Source organism: Homo sapiens, chromosome 10, assembly GCF_000001405.40.
Source record: "Homo sapiens chromosome 10, GRCh38.p14 Primary Assembly".
In the NCBI taxonomy this organism is placed as follows: domain Eukaryota; kingdom Metazoa; phylum Chordata; class Mammalia; order Primates; family Hominidae; genus Homo; species Homo sapiens.
In genome coordinates, this window is record NC_000010.11 from 99,932,711 (window position 1) to 99,954,285 (window position 21,575).

General features: G+C 42.3%; 1 protein-coding gene and 1 long non-coding RNA gene across 6 annotated transcripts in view; one reads left to right on the plus strand and one right to left on the minus strand.

Annotated features, from left to right (window-relative positions):
* DNMBP (dynamin binding protein) overlaps positions 1-21,575 on the minus strand; it is a 134,377-nt gene that overhangs the window by 57,140 nt on the left and 55,662 nt on the right. The gene's annotated exons all lie outside the window — the stretch shown is intronic.
* DNMBP-AS1 (DNMBP antisense RNA 1) overlaps positions 1-21,575 on the plus strand; it is a 31,794-nt gene that overhangs the window by 5,506 nt on the left and 4,713 nt on the right. The gene's annotated exons all lie outside the window — the stretch shown is intronic.

Consider the following 21,575-nt stretch of genomic DNA (forward strand, 5'->3'; position numbering starts at 1 on the left):
ACAAGCAGTGTGGCTGGGATTAATTGTGCATGAGTCAAAGGCTCAGGCTGACCCTAAGGGTCACCACACTTCCTATTTTTCTGTTCTCAAAATCTGGTCTTGCTCGTGCAGGAGTTCCTCATATTGGCATTTCAGAAGTCTGGGAATGACCACTAGTTATTCTGGAGATACCAATCTAATGGAAAAAGTGATCCGTTCCTAAGGAATCACCTAGGATCCCAGGGGAATAGCTTGTATGACTCTTTCTGATGAAAAACAGAGACTTACGGTTCAGTAACAGGGCTATAAAACAGGGGCATTGAGGCAGAATATGGTGACCCACACCTTTAATCTCAGCAGTTTAGGAGGCCTAGGTGGGAGGATCACTTGAGCCCAGGAGTTTGAGGCCAGCTTGGGCAACAAATGAGACCCCATCTCCACAATAACAAAAAAAAAATTAGCTGGGCACAGTGGCACACACCTGTAGTCCCAGCTACTCAGGAGGCTGAGGCAGGAGGATTGCTTGAGCCTGGGAGGTCAAGGCTACAATGAGCAGTGATTGAGCCACTGCCCTCCAGCCTGGGTAACAGACTGAGACCCTGTCTCAAAAAATAATAATAATCAAATGAATTTTAAAATAAAAGGGGTATTGAACTAAATAATCTCTAAAGTACTTTCCAGGTTCTAAGTTGTGTATGTTTTTGAAGATTCACCTTTACTGTGTAGAAATAACCAATAAAATAGCAATCCATCAGGTAATAAAGCTTATCAAAACAGTTACCCTGTTGAAAATAGACAGGAAAACAAGCTTTATTATATGGGTTCAGGGGGATCTGGCAAAAAAGGAAAATAGCATAATTCTACAGCTTTAAGAAAGCCAGTTGATTTCAAAGCCAGCAGAGTGGGAGTTATGGCACGCTTTTATTCTTCCCCTTCACCAAGAGGCCCATTGTGTCTGAACAGCAGTCAGTCACCAGTGCATTCCCTCTGTGTTCTCGATGGATGGCCTTAGGGCCAGAGGGGGAAAAATCACTTGTTGTTGTTTTTGTTTTTTTGTTTTTTTTTGAGACGGAGTCTCGCTCTATCACTCAGGCTGGAGTGCAGTGGCGCGATCTTGGCTCACTGCAAGCTCCGCCTCCCAGGTTCACACCATTCTCCTGCCTCAGCCTCCGCAGCAGCTGGGACTACAGGCGCCCGCCACCATGCCCGGCTAAAGTTTTGTAATTTTAGTAGAGACAGGGTTTCACCGTGTTAGCCAGGATGGTCTCAATCTCCTGACCTCATGATCCCCCTGCCTCGGCGTCCCAAAGTGTTGGGATTACAGGCGTGAGCCACTGCGCCCAGCCTTGTGATTTTTTAGGACCCCAACTTCTGACCAAGGGATAGGGAATCATAAGTTAAAGGAATGCAGAAATACAGGACCAAGACCCTATTTTTGGGGAACACTGAAACCAAATAATATCAAATTTGTGAAAATGTTGGGCACCTCTCTCTAAGTCTAAAATCTTAGGTGCTGTATAGTATATAAAAATACCAGTGTCAGAATTCATGATGTAGACAATAATTTCTTTTCTAGGCTATAGACAGCCAAGATGAATGTGAGCTTCTAAGGTTTTTTAGAGAAGCAAGCCTAGGTTTCAGATGGAGAGACAGTGTAACTGGAGTAAGGCTTTGGGGTTAATAATGATGCGGCTTCATAACAATAAAAACCTCCTTGTGTGGAATAGGGTCTCATATCATAGGTGAGATAATATTGGATAGTTGGAGAAGGGGAAAGTTGTGACTGGATAATCATGAATGTAAGTTTGCTTTGGGGTGAAAGCATAAGTCTTTTGGTAGCTCAGTAAACCTCTACAGAGAGTGTCCAGAGCAAATTTATTTTTTATATATTTTGGGTAATAAGAATAGGATTACTGAGGAAGAAGCCATTAGCAGTAGGCTCCTTGTGCTTCATGGTAAAAGTTTGGCCCGGGGAGGGAGATGGTAAAACTGGTACATTTGTAATCTTGATTTGTCAGGAATCATTTGGTAGACGTGAGGAAATAATGCGTGGGGACAAGATTTCAAAGGGTGAGATGGTGGGAATTGGACCAGGGTCGTAGCATAGAGCAATTAGTAGAAGGAAGAGGCCGGGCACAGTGGCTCATACCTGAAATCCCAGCACTGTGGGAGACTCAGGCGGGTGGATCACTTGAGTCCAGGAGTTCGAGACCAGCCTGGGCAACATAGTGAGACCCTGTCAAAATAAAAATTAGGTATGGTGGCGCATGCCTGTAGTCTCAGCTACTTAGGAGGCTGAGGTGGGACAATCAGTTGAGCCCGGGTGGTCAAGGCTGCAGTAAGCCATGATTGCACCACTGCACTCAGCCTTGGTGATAGGGTGAGACCCTGTCTCCACAAAAAAAAAAAAAAAAAAAAAAAAAAGAAAAGAAAAAGGGAAGAAATATTTTGAAAGAAGGAATTAGAAGAAAAAAGGAAATGAGCAGCAGAAGTCAGTTTGGAAAGCAGAATGTAATGAATTTATTTGGGAGTTGGAGTTGAAGAATCATCATCATTAGCAAATGAACATCAAGTGCTTGCCATGCAAAAGGCATCATACCAGACTCTTGAGATACCAAAGAGAAGGTGGTACCTACCATTAAGGAACTGTAACCTACTTGGGAATATAAGACAGACTTAGTTTTTTTTTTCTTATTTACTTTATTTTACTTTTTAGAGACAGGGCCTCTCTTTGTCACCCAGGTTGGAGTGCAGTGGTCCGATCATAGTTCACTGTAGCCTTGAACTGTTGGGCTCAAGCAGTCTTCCCACCTCAGCCTCACGAGTAGCTGAGACTACAGGCAATAGCCACCTTGCCTGAGTAGACTTAAATTTTTTGTTGTTGTTGTTGTTGAGATGGAGTTTTGCTCTCGTCACACAGGCTGGAGTGCAATGGTGCAACCTCAGCTCACTGCAACCTCTGCCTCCCAGGTTCAAGCCATTTTTCTGCCTCAGCCTCTCGAGTAGCTGGGGTTATAGGCATACACCCTGCCGCCCGGCTAATTTTGTATTCTTAGTAGACACAGGGTTTCACCATGTTGGCCAGGCTAGTCTTGAACTCCTGACCTGAGGTGATCCTGCGCACCTCGGCCTCCCGAAGTGCTGGGATTGCAGGCGTGAGCCACCGCACCTGGCCTAATTTTTTTTTAAATCAAGAGCATATAAAAATCAAGAGCATAAAAGATAACCCGGTTTTCCAATGTGCTTGACTATAAAATGACCCATAGGATTTTGCCAGGTGCTTTGCTACCCAGATCTTATTTTACCTAGGCCAGGTGCATTCCTTGAACACCTCTGACTTGGGTACTGAGTGAGAAGGAAATTTTAACTATAAAAGTATAGGTAAGATTAACTTTAATCTAACTGTAAGATTAAAATAATCTACAAGTGAATAGCTTATAATCAGATAATCAAGAGTTTGTTATAAAACAATTGATGATAAAATTAGAGTAATTTTTTCAAAATTAAATCATAAATCATATAGAACTGAATTTTAATTTCATTTTTCCAGAAACATATACTGTGCTCTTATCCTTTCTTTACCTCAACTTCTTCTACAATAAGACAGATGCTAACTGTTCAGCTTACATTTTGTGAGGATAACCTGAAAATTGGTTATTTTCAAAAACAAAAGTGGTGATTATTGGTACCTTCTTTTAAGATCTCATTATAATATATTTTCAGGATAGGGACAGTTCAAGAAGGCCTCTGGAGAACATGATTGAACATTCATTGCCCATACCCTTCATCTCCAACAAAGAACCCTTTACTGAAGATTTCTTTTTTCTTTTTTTTTTTTTTTTTGAGACACGGTCTCACTCTGTTGCCCAGGCCGGAGTGCAGTGGTGCCATCACAGCTCACTGCAGGCTCAAACAATCCATGTTTCTATTTTCCCTCACAACTTATTTTTGCTTTCCTCAAATACTTGATGTGCTATTACGTGCCTTTTGGATTCTTTACTGACTTACTGAATAAGCCTTTATTTATTTACTGGAGTTAGGGTCTTGCTCTGTTGCCCAGGCTGAAGTGAAGTGGTATGATCTAAGCTCACTGAAGCTTTGAACTCCTGGGCTCAAGGGAGCCTCCCACCTCAGCCTCCCTAGTAGCTGGGACTACAGGCATTTGTCACCATGCCCAGCCAAAATGAAACTCTAGATTGTCAAACCTTCTTTTATTTCTTATTCTTTGAGACAGAGTGTTACTCTGTCACCCAGGCTGGAGTGCAGTGGCATGATCTTGGCTCACTGCAACCTCTACATCTCCAGGGTTCAAGAGATTGTCCTGCCTCAGCCTCCCAAGTAGCTGAGATTACAGGTGCCCGCCACCACGCCCAGCTAATTTTTATATTTTTCAGTAGAGACGGGGTTTCACCATGTTGGCCAGGCTGGTCTTGAACTCCTGAACTCCTGACCTGATCACTCCTCAAGTGATCCGCCCACCTTGGCCTCCCAAAGTGCTGGGACTACAGGTGCACCAGACCCAAACGAACCTCTATATTGTCAAAACTTCTGATGTCCACTTGTTCTGGTCCCTTGTACCTCCTCAACCAACAGCAGCAGCAGCAACAGCCCAGGCAGCTACCATGTTTTCAGTGTGTACTATGGGCTACGATCAGCACTAGGAAGATGGTAGAGGTTTTCCATTTTCACTACCCTCCAAGGAGGGTATTTATTATACTTGTTTTACCACAGATAAAGAAACAATCTGCGAGTGTGAATAACCTGTCCAAGATCACATAAACTAGTACATGGCAGGGCCACAGTTTGAACCCAGATCTGTTTGATTTCATGGCACTAGACTAAGAAGAATATCTCAAAACACAGTAAATCTTAATTTCCCTCAAACCAAGTGAACAAACAAATAGAAAGTATCCTGGCCTAATTCAAAAGTGGACCACTACCGAGGCAAGCCATGTACACCCCAACACCACCATTCTCTCTTTGTTTCCAGTCCTGGCCGACCAACCCTGCCCTCAGCTGGGCCTCACCAGCCAACCACCATGAGCACACAGAATGGCAGTGACACACAAGACAGCCCAGCACTGAGTGACTCAGTCATTACAACCTATCACCTAAACCCAACAAAGATTGTGACTTGGTTCACCAAACCAATAGGAAGTCAACATTATTCGGGAGGACAGCTTTCACCACAAGTTAAAACAGAGCAACAGTGTAACAGAGAGAGCACTGGAGACCAAATGAGGAAATGACACCTGCCTTCTAGAAGTTCAATTTCTGCTAATAACCAGTTTTCAGGTATGATTACCCTCTTTGGCTGTCACTTTCCTATGTAGGAAATGTGGACATTAATGATTTCTCTGCCACTTTAAGTCTACAATTCTATGATCTTGCTTATTTCTAATCCAATTAAAAGATTAAACTTTCTCTGTTATGGAAAACAAAGTTCACTAGCAACTTGATATCTTTGATAAAGCTAGCAAGATAAGAAAAATACACCTAATCAACCAAGAGAAGAGATAAAAAGAGAGGACTAAATTGTAGGTAAGGATCCTAGTTATAAAAAGAAATTATTGACCAGGTGTGGTGGCTCAGGCCTGTAATCCCAGCACTTTGGGAGGCCAAGGTGGGCGGATCACTTGAGGTCAGAAGTTCCAAACCAGCCTGGCCAACATGGTGTAACCCCATCTCTACTAAAAATACAAAAAATTAGCTGGGTGTGGTGGCAGGATCTGTAATCCCAGCTACTCAGGAGGCTGAGGCAGGAGAATCGCTTGAGCCTGGGAGGCGGAGGTTGCAGTGAGCCAAGATGGGTGCCACTGCATTCCAGCCTCGGTGACACAGTGAGACTCCATCTCAAAAAATAAAAAAAAGAAATTATAGTTGGGCAAGTGGAGAGTGAACAGTTGGTTACAAAAGGGGGCTTCCCCCACCCTTTCTAAGTCCGATTGCCTTTAGGACTTTAAAGATAAGCAGTTTGCATAAAGAGGTAAACTCCCTCAGCTTTATCTCCACACTACTATGACTCAGATCTAAACAAAAGCTGTGAATGGGTTGCCATTTTTGAGTAATAAATCTGTGTACAGAGAAAGTGGCCGAGGAAAGAGGGAGGATGACTTTTCTACTTTTCTCAATGGTAGGACTGCTGGTGAAATAGAACCCTGTAGACAACCATCCCTCCTTCAGCACCCCCTCTCACTTTACACAACAGTCACACTCCACTGGCTCTTTTCAGCAGTCCTGAAGCACCACCTCACCGTGATGTTTGCTATTTGCTCCTAGTGGGTGGGCCATCATGACTATCTGTGTGATGCCCAGAGTGGATAGACTGCCACCTATTCTAGAAGTGAGGATGGAGAAGTAGGATTTGGAAGGAGAGAGAAGAGACAGAGAAGGTAGAAGAAGGGTAAAGGAAAAAAGGGAGAAAAGTGTGCCAAAAAAAAAAAGAGCAAGAATATGTAACTCCCTAAACTTTTGTGGATTCCTCTGTGACTGCCCATGTTGTTGCTCCACTGAGGGTCAACAACTCCTCACTCTCTAGGACTCTGCCCAGTGACATTCTGATTCCTACAGTTCTTGCTATTTTCCAGAGAACCTTGCAAATATCTCTCTTGGCTAACCTATGCTGTTACTTCATTATACTTGCTTACCTCCTTTTATTATACTGAAAGTTCCTTGAGGGCTAGGATGGTCTAACTTGTCTTCCTATCTCTAGCACAGCTCTGTAGATGGTAAAACCTCTTTGCAAAAATTATAACACTGAGAAAATTATAACAGTGAGAAAATTACAACAATGAAAGAGATTGGATCTAAACAACCCTCATCTTGTCTTTAACCTCCAAACTGTCCTTGATCACTCCTGGGCTTGGCCTAAGCCAACTGTGGGAGAAATTTAGTTTACAGTTGAAATGGAAATAGCCCTTCCACTTTCTAAAACTAAACCACTTTTGTAAAACTAATGAAAGGTCACCAAGTCAGAAGGATGAGAGGAGCCTAATTCTGCTAAGATATAGACATAAAGGATTACTAGCCATTATTTAGAAGGTAACAAGATTTGCAACTTCCGCAATCACCCCTGCAGATAACGCCATTACTGTAGAACCTAAGATTAATCTTTTGAGATGTCTTTTCAGGCTTTTGCATTTCTGAGGACTGATGGCTCCACCTGGACCTGCCAACCAGTCCTGTGGTCCCACCCAGAAAGGGACTTGGTACAGGAGGACCACTGTCCACATCCCTATGGTTGCATCCGCAACCAATCAGCAGCACCCATTCCCCTAGCCCCCTGGCCACTAAACTGCCCTGGAAAAACCTCTGCATTTTTTAGACTGATTTGAGTAGTAACTCCATCTCCCACATGGAGTGGCCAGCTGCATGTCAATCACTCTTTCTTCATGCAATGGCCTCAGTGAATTGGTTTTGTTTGTGCAGTGGGCAGGAAGAACCCATTGGGTGATTACAATGGGGTACACAGTAGGTATTTAAATGTTTAATGAATCAATGCATGTAGCATTTATTTGGCACATGCTAGATGCTAGGTAGAGGGCAATCTAGCTTAGAGGTTAAGTGCACAGGCTTTGATAGCCCTGGACTTAAATCCTGACTTTGCCACTTAATAGCTGTATAATCTTGGGGAGGTTATTTAATCTCTCTAGGCTTGTTTCTTCACCTTTTCACCATCAAACCTACCCTGCTACCTGCCTGTGAACCCAAACACTCTGCCTCCCACCTTTAACAATGGAGGAAGGGTCCCTGCTCTGATCCCAGGCCAATCTCTCCGTTGGCTTGCCAGACCCCTCCCCTCCTGACCACTCACTATCTAATAGCAGTGAGGCCTCCTCTCCCTGCTTCTTCAATGTGCCCATTCTAGTGGATCAGTCCCGTAAACTTATGAACGCGTACTAATGTTTCTCATCTTACAAACGACTTCCGCTGGCACCTCAATCCAACGTCCCCTGCTGCCACTACCCTATTTTTTTGCTTTCTTTTATAGCAAAACTCTTCGAAAGACTTTTGAGCACACTAAATGCTCAATGCCTCTCTTCCTTACCTCTCATTTTCTCTTTAATCCACTCCAATAGGGCTTGCATCCCAATATCATCCCTTCAGTGAAACTGCTCTTGACAAGGTCACCAAATCCCACAGTCATTTTGGAGACTTCACCTTACTTGGCCTCTCGGCAGCTTCTGATCCTGTCACTTGCCCTTTCTTTTTTTGAGACAGAGTCTAACTTTTTCACCCAGGCTGGAGTACGGTGGCGCGATCTTGGCTCATTGCAACCTCCACCTCCCATGTTCAAGTGATTCTCCTGCCTCAGCCTCCCGAGTGGCTGGGATTACAGGCACCCGCCACCACACTTGGCTAATTTTTGTGTTTTTAGTAGTGACGGGGTTTCACCATGTTGGTCCGGATGGTCGCAAACTCCTGACCTCAAGTGCTCCGCCCGCCTCGGCTTCCCAAAGTGCTGGGATTACAGGCGTGAGCCACCGCACCTGGCGTCACTTGCCCCTTCGTGAAACCGTTTTTCCATTTGGCTTTCCTTCTCCTTGGCTGGTTGCTTCTTCTTTGCTGGCCCATCTCCCTTGTCTTCCATATTCCTAAAGATTGGAATGCCCCAGGGCTAAGTTCTAGATCATATTCTCCTATACGCCCAATTAACTGGCACACAGCAGGAATTCAAGAAGTATTGATATGACCAGAAATGTGGTTGCTACTTGCAACTCTAATCCTTCCAGTTGCCTAACCTCAGGGTTACCCCTCAGGGTTACCCTTGACTCTTCTCAATTTTTTTTTTTTTTTGAGATGGAGTTTCACTCTTGTTGCCCAGACTGGAGTGCAATGGCACGATCTCGGCTCACCGCAACCTCCACCTCCCAGATTCAAGCGGTTCTCCTGCCTCAGCCTCCCTAGTAGCTGGGATTACAGGCATGTGCCACCATGCCCGGCTAATTTTGTATTTTTAGTAGAGACGGGGTTTCTCCATGTTGGTCAGGCTGGTCTTGAACTCCTGACCTCAGGTGATCCGCCCGCCTTGGCCTCCCAAAGTGCTGGGATTACAGGCATGAGCCACCACGCCTGGCCTCTTCTCAGTCTCTTATACCTCACATCTAATCCACCAGCAAGTCCTACTGGCTCTAACTCAAAATATGCTGAGAGCTGAGCACCTCTCATCCCTACTGCTGCCATCCTGGTCCAAGGTGCTGGCATCCATCCCTTGCCTGGGTCACTGCAGTAGCCTCCTAACTGGTCTCTCAGCCTCTGCCCTGTGTCTCTTCTGTCTATTCTCTTCTGTTAAATTGTAGGTCAGGTCATATTATTCCCCTGCTCAAAACCTTCCAGTAACTTCTCTTCTTACCCTAAATGATGAACTACAACTGTGCCGTTGCTCTAGCTGAACCAGTCTCCTTGCTTTTCCTCAAACATCTAACATACTCTCATTCTTGCTGTCTTATCTGTCTGGAACGATGCCTCCCACCCCCAGAAATGGTTTGGCTGGCCCCCAACAATCTTACTCAAACATTATTTTTCAGAAGGTTTTCTCTGATTTCTTTTCTCCATAGATTGTTTTCCCTTCTGACAAAAAGGCAAAAAAATATACTTAGAGTTTTACTTACTTATTGCTTGTCTTTTCCCATGAAGGCAGAGATTGATTGCTACTGTGACTCGAGATCACTGCCTGGAATACAGTGGGAGCTCAATCATACTGGTTGACTGATGACTGTCCTGTCTTTTGGGTCTTATTACATCTGGTAAAGTGAACAGTAAAAGGCAGCAAGCAGCTCAGGTAGGGGTGTGATGGTGGGAACACTCGCAACTAAGGGTCTCAGGCTATCTGAAGATGAATTATTTTCCTGTACCATGCTGCAAAGCCTCAGTGAAATCTGAAACCAATACTTAAGTACCTCAATGCATTCCAGCTTCTTCACCCTGTGCCTCGAGCTGAGAGTGCGAAAATGTTCACAAGGCCATCCTACAAACTGCTAAGAACAGTGACTCACAGGTCAATTATACCTCAGTTCACCATTCTAAGCTACATTTCTTGACATACATTCAACCATCCATCCTAAAATCAGAAACTAGTTTCTCTCCTGACTTAACATAGCCTATTAACGGGTTCTGATGATGGCTGCTGTCTTATACTAGGATAAAATCCTTTAGAAGTAACTCTGAGCTCATTTTTACTGAGCCAAAAGCCTCAACCAGATGTTACACAAGTTGAAGATACTTGCTTTTTTCCTACATACTGACAAACTAGAAAGAAAGATTATTATTTCCTTTACATAAACTTTCATTATCTTGAAAGACCACAGAATGGGCCAGGTGTGGTGGCTTACACCTGTAATCCCAGCACTTTGGGAGGCTGAGGGGGGGGCGGATCACCTGAGGTCAGGCGTTCGAGACTAGCCTGGCCAACATGGCAAAGCCCAGTCTCTACTAAAAATACAAAAATTAGCTGGGCATGGTGGCGGGCACCTGTAATCTCAGTTACTTAGGAGGCTGAGGCAGAAGAATCGCTTGAACCCGGGAGGCAGAGGTTACAGTTAGCCGAGATTGCACCACTACACTCCAGCCTAGGTGACAAGAGTGAGACTCTGTCTCAAAAAAAACCAACAAAAAAAAAAAACACAGAATGATTTGGCTATTTAATTCTATTATCTGTTACTAGTTTGAGAAGGAATTCTTGTGTGTGGTTTTTTGTTTGTTTGTTTGTTTGTTTGTTTGTTTTTTTGAGACAGTTTCACTCTGTCACCCAGGTTGGAGTGTGGAGTGCAATGATATGATGACAGCTCACTGCAGCCTCGGCCTCCTGGGCTCACCCAATCCTCCCACCTCAGTCTCCCTAGTAGCTGGAACTACAGGTGTACACCACCATATCCAGCTATTTTTGTATTTCTTTTAGGAACGGGGTCTCACCATGTTGCCTGGGCTGGTCTTAAAGCAATCCTCCTACCTTGGTCTCCCAAAGGGCTGGGAGGCATGAACTACCACACACAGGTATGAGCCACCATGCCCGGCTGAGAAATAATTCTTATACCTAAGGGATTCCAAGGAGGCTGCAGAATGACAAATTGCTTCTGCATATAAAACAGTTACACTTTAAAATTTTAAAAATCTGTCTAGAATATTACGTATCACTTTAGTATAAAGACGTTATTGTTCCATATCAGTCATTCTCCAGCTTGTTAATCTACTGGCTGTCTTTAGTGCATCTTAGATGCTACCCAGTAGACTGGGGAAATATTATTTTCCTGAAAAACATGTTCTGATTTAATTTGCAACAGACATCACTGAAAATTACTTGTAGAGTCTCTGGTCAACCTTCCTTTGACATTATCTTAAAGGCCAAAAAGAGGAAAGTTGAGGAGCAAGGTTCCTGACTCACTCTGTAGTTTGGCATCCATTGCACTGATTTAGAACAATGGGGTTCCGGAACTGACCCACACCGAAAGTAGCCATTGGTCATGATTCCAAGGCAGCAGGAAAGAGCATAATTAGCTGTAGAGGTCAATATCAATATGATCACTGGGGTTTCAAACACACATAAATATGAATGATAATATGACTATGTTTTTTTAAATTAATCAACGTGTAGCTAGTGCCTGGCTCATCATGTGTGCTCAAGAAATATACACTGAATAAAGAAATGAATGCACACCCTCTTTTCAAATTCAGGTGTGTGAACCTCACCAAGAGATAGGGTAGCACTAGGTAGTCCTGATCAGAGCTTCTAAAAATAATATGTACTGGGAAACCTGAAAGTCTGAGAACTACCTCTTAATGTTTCTACTGCTTTGCAAGTCAACCTGTTCAGACTTGAAGGTAGTGTGCTTGAGATCTGAACCTTAACTTGTTAATTAGCAACTCATTTGACTGGAAGCTCCTTGAGACCAGCGAGCACATCTATAATGTTCATCGCTATGTACCCAGCCCTTAGCACAGTGCCTGGCACATGGTAAAAATAAATTGAGTATTTCCTGGATGAATGAGTGATTGACCTGAATACCACACGGAAGCCCACAAAATGATGTTTCATTCCCCAACACACAGCAATCATAAATACTGTCTAGTATTCTACCCTGACTCTAGATGATAATTCCAAATTTAAAACTCCTAATTCTCAGTTACAGCCAAAGACTGGCTTATCTAAAACTAATACTGGACTTTTTATTTCCAATAATTGAAGTCTACATTATTTGGATCAGTCTCTCATAGAAAAAAAAAATCTTTAAAATAGAAATCTAAAAGGAGACCTTTTCTGTAATAAGCTAAGATCCTAAAGAACTCCCGAGGGTAAATCAGAATTGGGCCAGCCCTCTTGCTAAATTACAGCTGAGTTCCGATACCTTGGTCATCCAAGGTACAAGGTACACTGAGCCTTGAAATTGGTTTAAGTTGGACCTGGGCTGAGAATGACTAGTGTTTGTTTCCATGTGGAAATTCCTTCTCAGCATTTCTTAGGAAATTTATATGTCTTTCTAAATCAAAAACAAAAAAAACAAAAAAAATCAGCTGAGGACTCTAGGAAACAAGAGAAGGTACTAGGATTCTCCTGAGAGAATAAAGCCTAACAATAAATGCAGAGACATTAAGAGTTTAAAGAAATCCACCAATGTCAAGTTGACGCAAGAGCAGAGAATACTGGCACGCGGAGTAAAATGTTACAAGGTGACATTTCTGGGAATGAGGACAAGAGTGGGTAGGAGGGCCAGGGTCTAATCAGTTAGCTTTGCTCATAGTTGTTGCTATGTAATACATGTGTTTAGAAGAGTGTGTGCTCATGGCCCCGTGTGTTGCCAACAGTGAGTCATTCTTGCAAATAAAATAAAGATTAATAAGCTTACTTGTATAGTATGCTTTATACAGATCTTATAAGGGTAGTCTAAGAAATAAAGTTTTGCAAACAAAGTAAGTCCTTAGCAATTCTGACACATGATTCTGTACAGTGCTAAATCTTGCTCAGAGAGGCAAATGTTCCATTATTTGAAAACCACCCAGTAATGTTTGTCCAGTGTTTTCCACTGCTTAATATTTGCTATATAGTTCTTTATAAATGTTTTAACAGAAGAAATACAAAAGAGATGTGAATATTGCTGTGAAATATCCCTACACAAAATCAGGAACATATCTAAAATCTGAATTAGCACAAGCAATATCAATTTCAATGGCAAAGCCAAAATCAGAAGAAGCAGAAAAAATGTTTTCAACATTAAAAAGAAAATGAGCTTTCATGAGACAACATGCAACCGAACAGCCCTACCCAGAAATGCTTTTTTTTCTTTTTTTAATTGAGACGGAGTCTCGCTCTGTTGCCCAGGCTGTAGTGCAGTGGCACGATCTTGGCTCACTGCAACCTCTGCCTACTGGGTTCAAGCCATTCTCCTGCCTCAGTCTCCCAAGTAGCTGAGATTACAGGTGCACACCACTATGCCCTGCTAATTTTTTGTATTTTTAGTAGAGACAGGGTTTCACCATGTTGGCCAGGCTGGTCTCAAATTCCTGACCTCAAGTCATCCATCCGCCTCGGCCTCCCAGAGTGCTGGGATTACAGGCATGAGCCACTGAGCCCAGCTCCAGAAATGCTTTTGAATACACACTTAACAATTCCACCAACATCAACATAAAATGAAAACCTTTTTTTGATGTATGAAATATTAGTCACAAAACAAAGATCAACACTATCAGATAGAGCAACTAATGCTCTGTGTATTTAAAATACTATTTAAAGGCATGTAAACCAATGGAACAGAACAGAAAATCCAGAAATAGAGCTGCACACCTACAACCAAGTAATCTTCAACAAAGTTGACCAAAATAAGCAATGGGGAAAGAATTCTCTATACAATAAATGGTACTGGAAAAACTAACCATATGCAGAAGAATGAAACTGGACTTCCATCTCTCACCATATACAAAAATTAACTCAAGATGGATTAAAGACTTACATGTGAGGTCTCAAACTACACAAATCCTTGAATAAAACCTAGTTAACACTCTTCTAGACATTGGCTTAGGCAACCTGCAACAAAAACAAAAACTGACAACTGGAACCCAATTAAACTAAAGAGCTTCTGTACAGCAAAACAAACTATCAACAGAGTAAACAGACAACCTACAGACTGGGAAAAACTATATGTAAACTATGCATCCAACAAAGGCCTAACATCTAGAATTTATAAGGAACTTAACAAGAAAAAAAACAACCCCCCTAAACACTGGGCACAGGACATGAACTGACACTTCTCAAAAGAAGACATACAAGTGGCCAACAAATATATGAAAAAAATGCTTAACATCGCTAATCATCAGAGAAGTGCAAATCAAAACCAAATGAGAAACCATCTTACACCAGTCAGAATGGGTATTAAAGTAAAAAAATAACAGATATGTTGGCATGGTTGTAGAGAAAAGGGAACACTTATACACTGTTAGTGGGAATGTAAATTAGTTCAGCCCCTGTGGAAAGCAGTTTGGAGATTTCTTAAGGGGCTAAAAGTAGAACTATCATTCGACTTAGCAATCCCAGTATTGGGTATATGCCCAAAGGAAAATTCTTCTACCAAAAACACACCTGCACTCAGCTGACTCCAGCACTATTCACTACAGCAAAGACATGAAATCAACTTAGGTGCCTATCAACAGTGGACTGGATAAAGAAATCCTGGTATATATACACCATAAAATAGTATGTAGCCACAAAATAGAATGAAATCATGTCCTTTGCAGCAACATGGATGCAGCTGGAGGCCAGTATCCTAAGAAAATTAAGGCTGAAGCAGAAAACCAAATATTGCATGTTTTCACTTATAAGTGGGAGCTACACACTGGGTACACATGGACATAAAGATAGGAACAACAGACACTGGGGACTACAGGACAATGGAGGGAGGGAGGGAGGGAGGGAGGCAAAGGTTGAAAAACTGCCTATTAGGTACTATGTTCTCTTACACAGGTGATGGGATCAATTGAAGCCCAAACCTCAGCATTACACAATATACCCTTGTAACAAATCTGCATATGTACTCCCTGAATCTAACATTTAAAAGTTAAAATAAAATTCTATTTTAAGAGTAATTTAAAATACTAAATATTTGTGGTATTTCTTTCAATTTTTAAATAGTTTTTGACATTTATCTTGTACTAATGCTCTTTTAATGTTTTACATTATCACATTAATTTTCTGATTTTATAGATCTTCTATAGGTGTGTAAGATATTAAGGTTAGGAGAAGCTGAGCGAAGTATATGGAAGCTCTTATTTTTGCAGCTTTCTATAAATCTAAAATTATTTAAAAATGAAATTTAAGAATGTTTTTACGATGTTGATGATAGGGGAAGCTATGTATGTGTGGGGGCACGGGATATGGGAAATCTCTGTACCTTCCTTTCAATGTTGCTGTTAATCTAAAACAGCTCTTACAAAAAACAAGTCCTTTAAAAAAGTCTATTATCAGGTAGAGAATATTTTTACATGTTATTAAAATATATAATCATATCACGACATTGTGGCTCACAACAACAAACCGTGCATTTATCATACACAAATATAAAACCTCTGAAAATGTTAGTGTAATACTAGCACAGGAAAACTTGTCATCTTTGATTATGATCTCTACTACTATTCAAGAATGTGTAAGTAAAAGTTTTTTAAAATACAAGGTTATAATTTAGGAACTCCCAGGAATTCCAACTTCTTACTCCTGAATCTCAAATATTATTATCCTTCAGGAATTTGGAAACATTAGTTGACTACAAACAACTGACAGAAACAAATGCAAATTCTTTCTAGAGTTCAGGTGTCTTCACCTCAACTCTTAAGATTTTCCAAATACTATGACCAGCACACAGTAAGATAATCAGACACACAAAGAGCCTAGACCACAAAAATGAGAACCCATGTGACATCAAAAACAGTCCCACTAACACTGAATATCTTGGAATCATACACAGACTATAAAACAGCTATGCTTACCATATGGAAAGAAAATAAAAACCAAAGCTGGGCATGATGGCTCACATCTGTAATCCCAGCACTTTGGGAGGCCAAGGCAGGCGGATCACTTGAGGCTAGGAGTTCGAGACCAGGCTGACCAACATGGTGAAACCCCATCTCTACTAAAAATACAAAAATTAGCCAGGTGTGGTGGCGGGCACCTGTAATTCCAGCTACTCGGGAGGCTAAGGCAGAAGAATCACTTGAACCCGGGAGGCAGAAGTTGCAGTGAGCCAAGATCACGCCATTGCACTGCAGTCTGGGCAACAAGAGTGAGACTCCATCTCAAAAATAAATAAATAAATAAATAAATAAATAAATAAATAAATAAATAAATGCAGAGTTTTAAGAAGAGGCAGTAGCTACACTAAAAACCTCACTGTGGGTCTGGCACAGCACTGGTCTGACAAGGGGCCTGCCATCTCTGCACTGATTCCCAGGTCCCAAGTAGACCAGTTCAAAGTAACAACAGAAGTAGGAGATCTCTGAAAACTCTGGGAGGTAGAGCAGGCAATTCAATTCAAATCAATTCAGTTAAACTCAACTCCCTTCATTAGGTATTTGAGTCCCTACTATGTATAGAACATCATACCAGGTGTGTGGGAAATGACACACTGAATAATAGATAAAACCTGTCTTCTCAGTAAGCATATTAACAACTAAATATAATATTGATCAGAATTAGATAAATGTTATATTGAAAGTTCTTTAAATCTTAGGCCTTAAATTTTAAAATTATAACTTATACAGAACCAGATTAGAGAAGTAATGCCTGGTGCTCAAACTGGTTAATTTCCACCTCTTGAGGGATAGCTTATATTGTTGGATACACCTTTTATGAAGACAGAAAAAAATGACCTTATGAGAAATTGGCTGTTACTGCAAGGAATAAGTAATTTTATCATATTAGCAATAGATATTATCAAAACACCTTTTGAGAAATCAATCAAATCAACATTAACATACCCAATACTGTATTTGGTGGATTCAAATTTTACAAAGTCTTCCCGAAATAGACTACACCCACATTAAGTCTTTCACAGCACTAAACAGCAATTTTTTTAAAAAGTCAGAACACTTGCTGAATAAACTAATTCTGAAAATGAAGGTCTGGTGAATAAAAAAGAACACCAGTTTTATGTAGTACCAGTCCATTTACCCATTTAAAAACACTGCACACACAAAAAATAAAAATAAAAACACTGCAGTGTTCTTAAGCACAGAAGACATAACATTTTCCATGGAACACTATTAATTCTAAAAAGTACCATTACTGGGAAATTCCTGCTACCTGAAATTTGGGAGTCTTTTATTCTCCCACCTATATATTTGACATGGTTTGGCTGTGTCCCCACCCAAATCCCATCTTGAATTCCTACGTGTTGTGGGAGGGACCTGGTAGGAGGTAATTGAATCATGGGGGGCAGGTCTTTCCTGTGCTGTTCTCGTGACTGAATAAGTCTCACAAAAGATGGTGTTTTGAAAAACGGGAGTCTTCCCGCACAAGCTCTCTCTTTGCCAGCTGCCATCCACGTAAGATGTGACTTGCTCCTCCTTGCCTTCCACCATGATTGTGAGGCCTCCCCAACATGTGGAACGATAAGTCCATTAAACCTCTTTCTTTTGTAAATTGCCCGGTCTTGGGTATGTCTTTATCAGCAGTGTGAACATGGACTAATACAGGAAAATGGTACCAGTAAAGCGGGGCACTGCTTAAAAGATACCCGGAAATGTGGAACTGACTTTGGAACTGGGTAACAGGCGGAGGCTGGAACAATTTGGAGGGCTCAGAAGAAGACAGGAAAATGTGGAAAAGTTTGGAACTCCCTAGAGACTTGTTGAATGACTTTGACCAAAATGCTGATAAAGATATGGACAATGAAATCCAGGCTGAGGTGGTCTCAGAAGGAGATGAGGAACTTGTTGGGAACTGGACCAAAAGTGACTCTTGTTATATTTTAGCAAAGAGACTGGTAGCATTTTGCCTCTTCCCTAGAGATTTGTGGAACTTTGAACTTGAGAGAGATGATTTAGGGTATCTGGCAGAAAAAATTTCTAAGCAGCAAAGCATGCAAGAGGTGACTTGGGTGCTGTTAAAGGCATTCAGTTTTATAAGGGATGTACAGAACAGAAGTTCCAAAAATGTGCAGCCTGACAATGTGATAGAAAAGAAAATCCCATTTCCTGAAGAGAAAAACCAGCTGCAGAAATTTGCGTAAGTAATGAGCAGCCAAATGTTAATCCCCAAGACAATGGGGAAAATGTCTCCAGGGCATGTCAGAGGTCTTCACGGCAACTGCACCCATCACAGGCCCAAAGGCCTAGGAGGAAAGAGTGATTTCCTGGGCTGTGCCCAGGATCACTATGCTGTGTGCAGCCTAGGGACTTGGTGCCCTGTGTCCCAGCTGCTCCAGCCATGGCTGAAAGGGGCCAATGTAGAACTCAGGCCATGGCTTCAGAGGGTGCAAGCCCCAAGCCTTGGCAGCTTCCATGTGGTGTTGAGCCTGCGGGTGCACAGAAGAACTGAGGTTTGGGAACCTCTGCCTCGATTTCAGAGGATGTATGGAAATGCCTGGATGTCCAGGCAGAAGTTTGCTGCAGGTGCAGGGCTCTCATGGAGAACCTCTGCTGGGGCAGTGCAGAAGGAAAATGTGGGGTCAGAGCCTCTACACAGAGTCCCTACTGGGGCACCACCTAGTGGAGCTGTGAGAAGAGGGCCAAAATCTTCCAGACCCCAGAATGGTAGATCCACCAACAGCTTGCACCGTGTGCCTGGAAAAGCTGTAGACACTCAACATCAGCCCGTGAAAGCAGCCAGGAGGGAGGCTGTACCCTGGAGAGCCACAGGGGCAGAGCCGCCCAACACCATGGGAACCCACCTCTTGCATCGGTGTGACCTCGTTGTGAGACATGGAGTCAAAGGAGATCATTTTGGAGCTTTAAGATTTGACTGCCCCACTGGATTTCAGACTTGCGTGGGGCCTGTAGCCCCTTTGTTTTGGCCAATTTCTCCCATTTGGAATGGCTGTATTTACCCAATGCCTGTATCCCCATTGTTTCTAGGAAGTAACTAACTTGCTTTTGATTTTACAGGCTCATAGGCAGAAGGGACTTGCCTTGTCTCAGATGAGACGTCGAACTGTGGACTTTTGAGTTAATGCTGAAATGAGTTAAGACTTTGGGGGACTGTTGGGAAGGCATGATTAGTTTTGAAATGTGACGACATGAGATTTGGGAGGATCCAGGCAGAATGATATGGTTTGGCTGTGTCCCCACTCCAAACTCATCTTGAATTCCTATGTGTTGTGGGAGGGAGCCGGTGGGAGATAATTGAATCATGGGGGCAGGTCTTTCCTGTGCTGCTCTCGTGAGAGTGAGTAAGTCTCATGAGATCTGATGGTTTTGAAAAATGGGAGTCTCCCTACACAAACTCTCTCTTTGCCTGCTATCATCCATGTAAGACGTGACTTGCTCCTCCTTGCCTTCCACCATGATTGTGAGGCCTCCCCAACCATGTGGAATTGTAAGTCCATTAAACCTCTTCATTTTGTAAATTGCCCAGTATCTGGTATCTTCATCAGCAGTGTGAAAATGGACTAATACAATATCTAATGCAAGAATTGTTTACAGGTTTATCTTGAAACTTGTAGGTATAGAAAGTGATGGAGAATCTGGAGTTTGCTAGGGCTTTGGGAATGTAACACTCAGCCAAGGTTCCCTCAGAATTCTTTTTCAGGGACTCTGAAATCAAGGTATCTGGCATTCCCCTGAGAGCTCAAGTACTCATATTAAATGAACACCTTTTTGAGGACTTGTCTAAGCATCTACTTCATGCTGTAGCTTGAGGGTAAATGCTCCTGCTGTTCAGTACAAGCAACCCAGCGGCCTGGCTCCCTAGCTATCCCCTAATCAATTACACTGAATGTGCTCTAGGACCCCTCCTACCGCACCATCTCTTAGTCTGCAGTTCCCTTAGAACTCTGCCCACATGCATAATAGTCCTTTCCTAAGAATATTTTGAATAGAGGTTTCCCTCTCTTTCTGCTATATCATCTTTCAGAAGATTACTTGATTTCCAATAATACTCTTTTTTATTGGAATTTTTTTATTCTATTATTTCCATTCACTTTTATAGACCTAAAGTAGAAAGGGAGGGAGGTAGCTATATGTGCTCAGTCTGCCATCTTGATCCAGGATCTCTGGATCACCATTCTGCTTTTATCTCTTATTAGTATCCTGCTATTCCTAGACCCCCTGGGTTGCTTTCTATTATTGACTTTCCTGATGACACATAAGTTCAAATCTCTGGTACACAAGCCAAAAGTGACATGTATTCACGTTCTTGGGCCCTAGACCAATTGCTGTTGGTTGCCTACCTCTTGTACTCTTCCTATTTATAAATTTTTTCTCCTGTGAGTCTGGTGAATATGAATGAAGTCTCCAGAGGCTTATCATTCCCAAATTAAGGGAAATAATTTGAATTTTCAGTGTGCCAGTATAGGAAGCGGTGAACTATAGTTGTTAGAAACATAAGCTTAAATCCCAACTCCCTTGGCAAGTCACTTAATCTCTTTTCAAATTTAATTTAAAACTTTTTTTTTTTTTAAGAGACAGGTCTCTCTATGTTGCCCAGGCTGCTCTTGAACTCCTGGGCTCTAGTGATCCTCCTACGTCGGCCTCCCAAAGTGCTGGTATTACAGGCTTGAGCCTACTCAATATCTATGTCTTAGTTTCCTCATCTATAGAGTAGCCATATGAATTATCATTGTACCTTTAGGGTAGCTGTGAACATTCTTCCTGTAGGCAAATTCTAACACATGCTTACTAATATGGTAATAAATGTTAGCTATTACTATTATTAAAATCTACTCCCTTGGCCAGGCATGGTATCCCAGCACTTTGGGAGGCCAAGGTGGGTGGATCACTCGAGGTCAGGAGTTTGAGACCAGCCTGGGCAATGTGACAAAACCCCATCTCTGCTAAAAATAGAAAAATTAGCCAGGCGTGGTGGCATGCACCTGTAATCTCAGCTATTCAGGAGGCTGAGGCATGAGATCACTTGAACCCGGGAGGCACAGGTTGCAGTGAGCCAAGATCTCACCACTACAGCCTGGGTGACAGAGTAAGACTCTGTCTCAAAAAAAAAAAGAAAAAAAAGAAATCTACTCTCTGGACAGCAAAGATACAAGATGGAGTTTTCTCATGAGTCTTTCTTAACCTGGAAGTCTTTAGTGCTTAATGGAGCCTGATTAAAGAAAGTTCTACTTAGGGACTTCCCATCTGCACCACTGCTATGGATGCCATAGCAGAATAAGAGACATAAATGTCCCAGAGGTATATGTGTCTCCGAGGTATGAGATTCTTTTTTTTTTTGGAGACAGGGTCTCACTCTGTTGCCCAAGCTGGAGAGCAGTGGCATGATCATTGCTCACAGCAACCTCTGCCTCCCAGGTTCAAGCAATCCTCCCACCTCAGCCTCCCGAGTAGCTGGGACTACTGGGATATACCACCACTCCTGGCTAATTATTTTTTGTATTTTTTTGTAGAAGCAGGGTTTGGCCCTGTTGCCCAGGCTGGTCTCAAACTCCTGGGCTCAAGCAATCCACCCA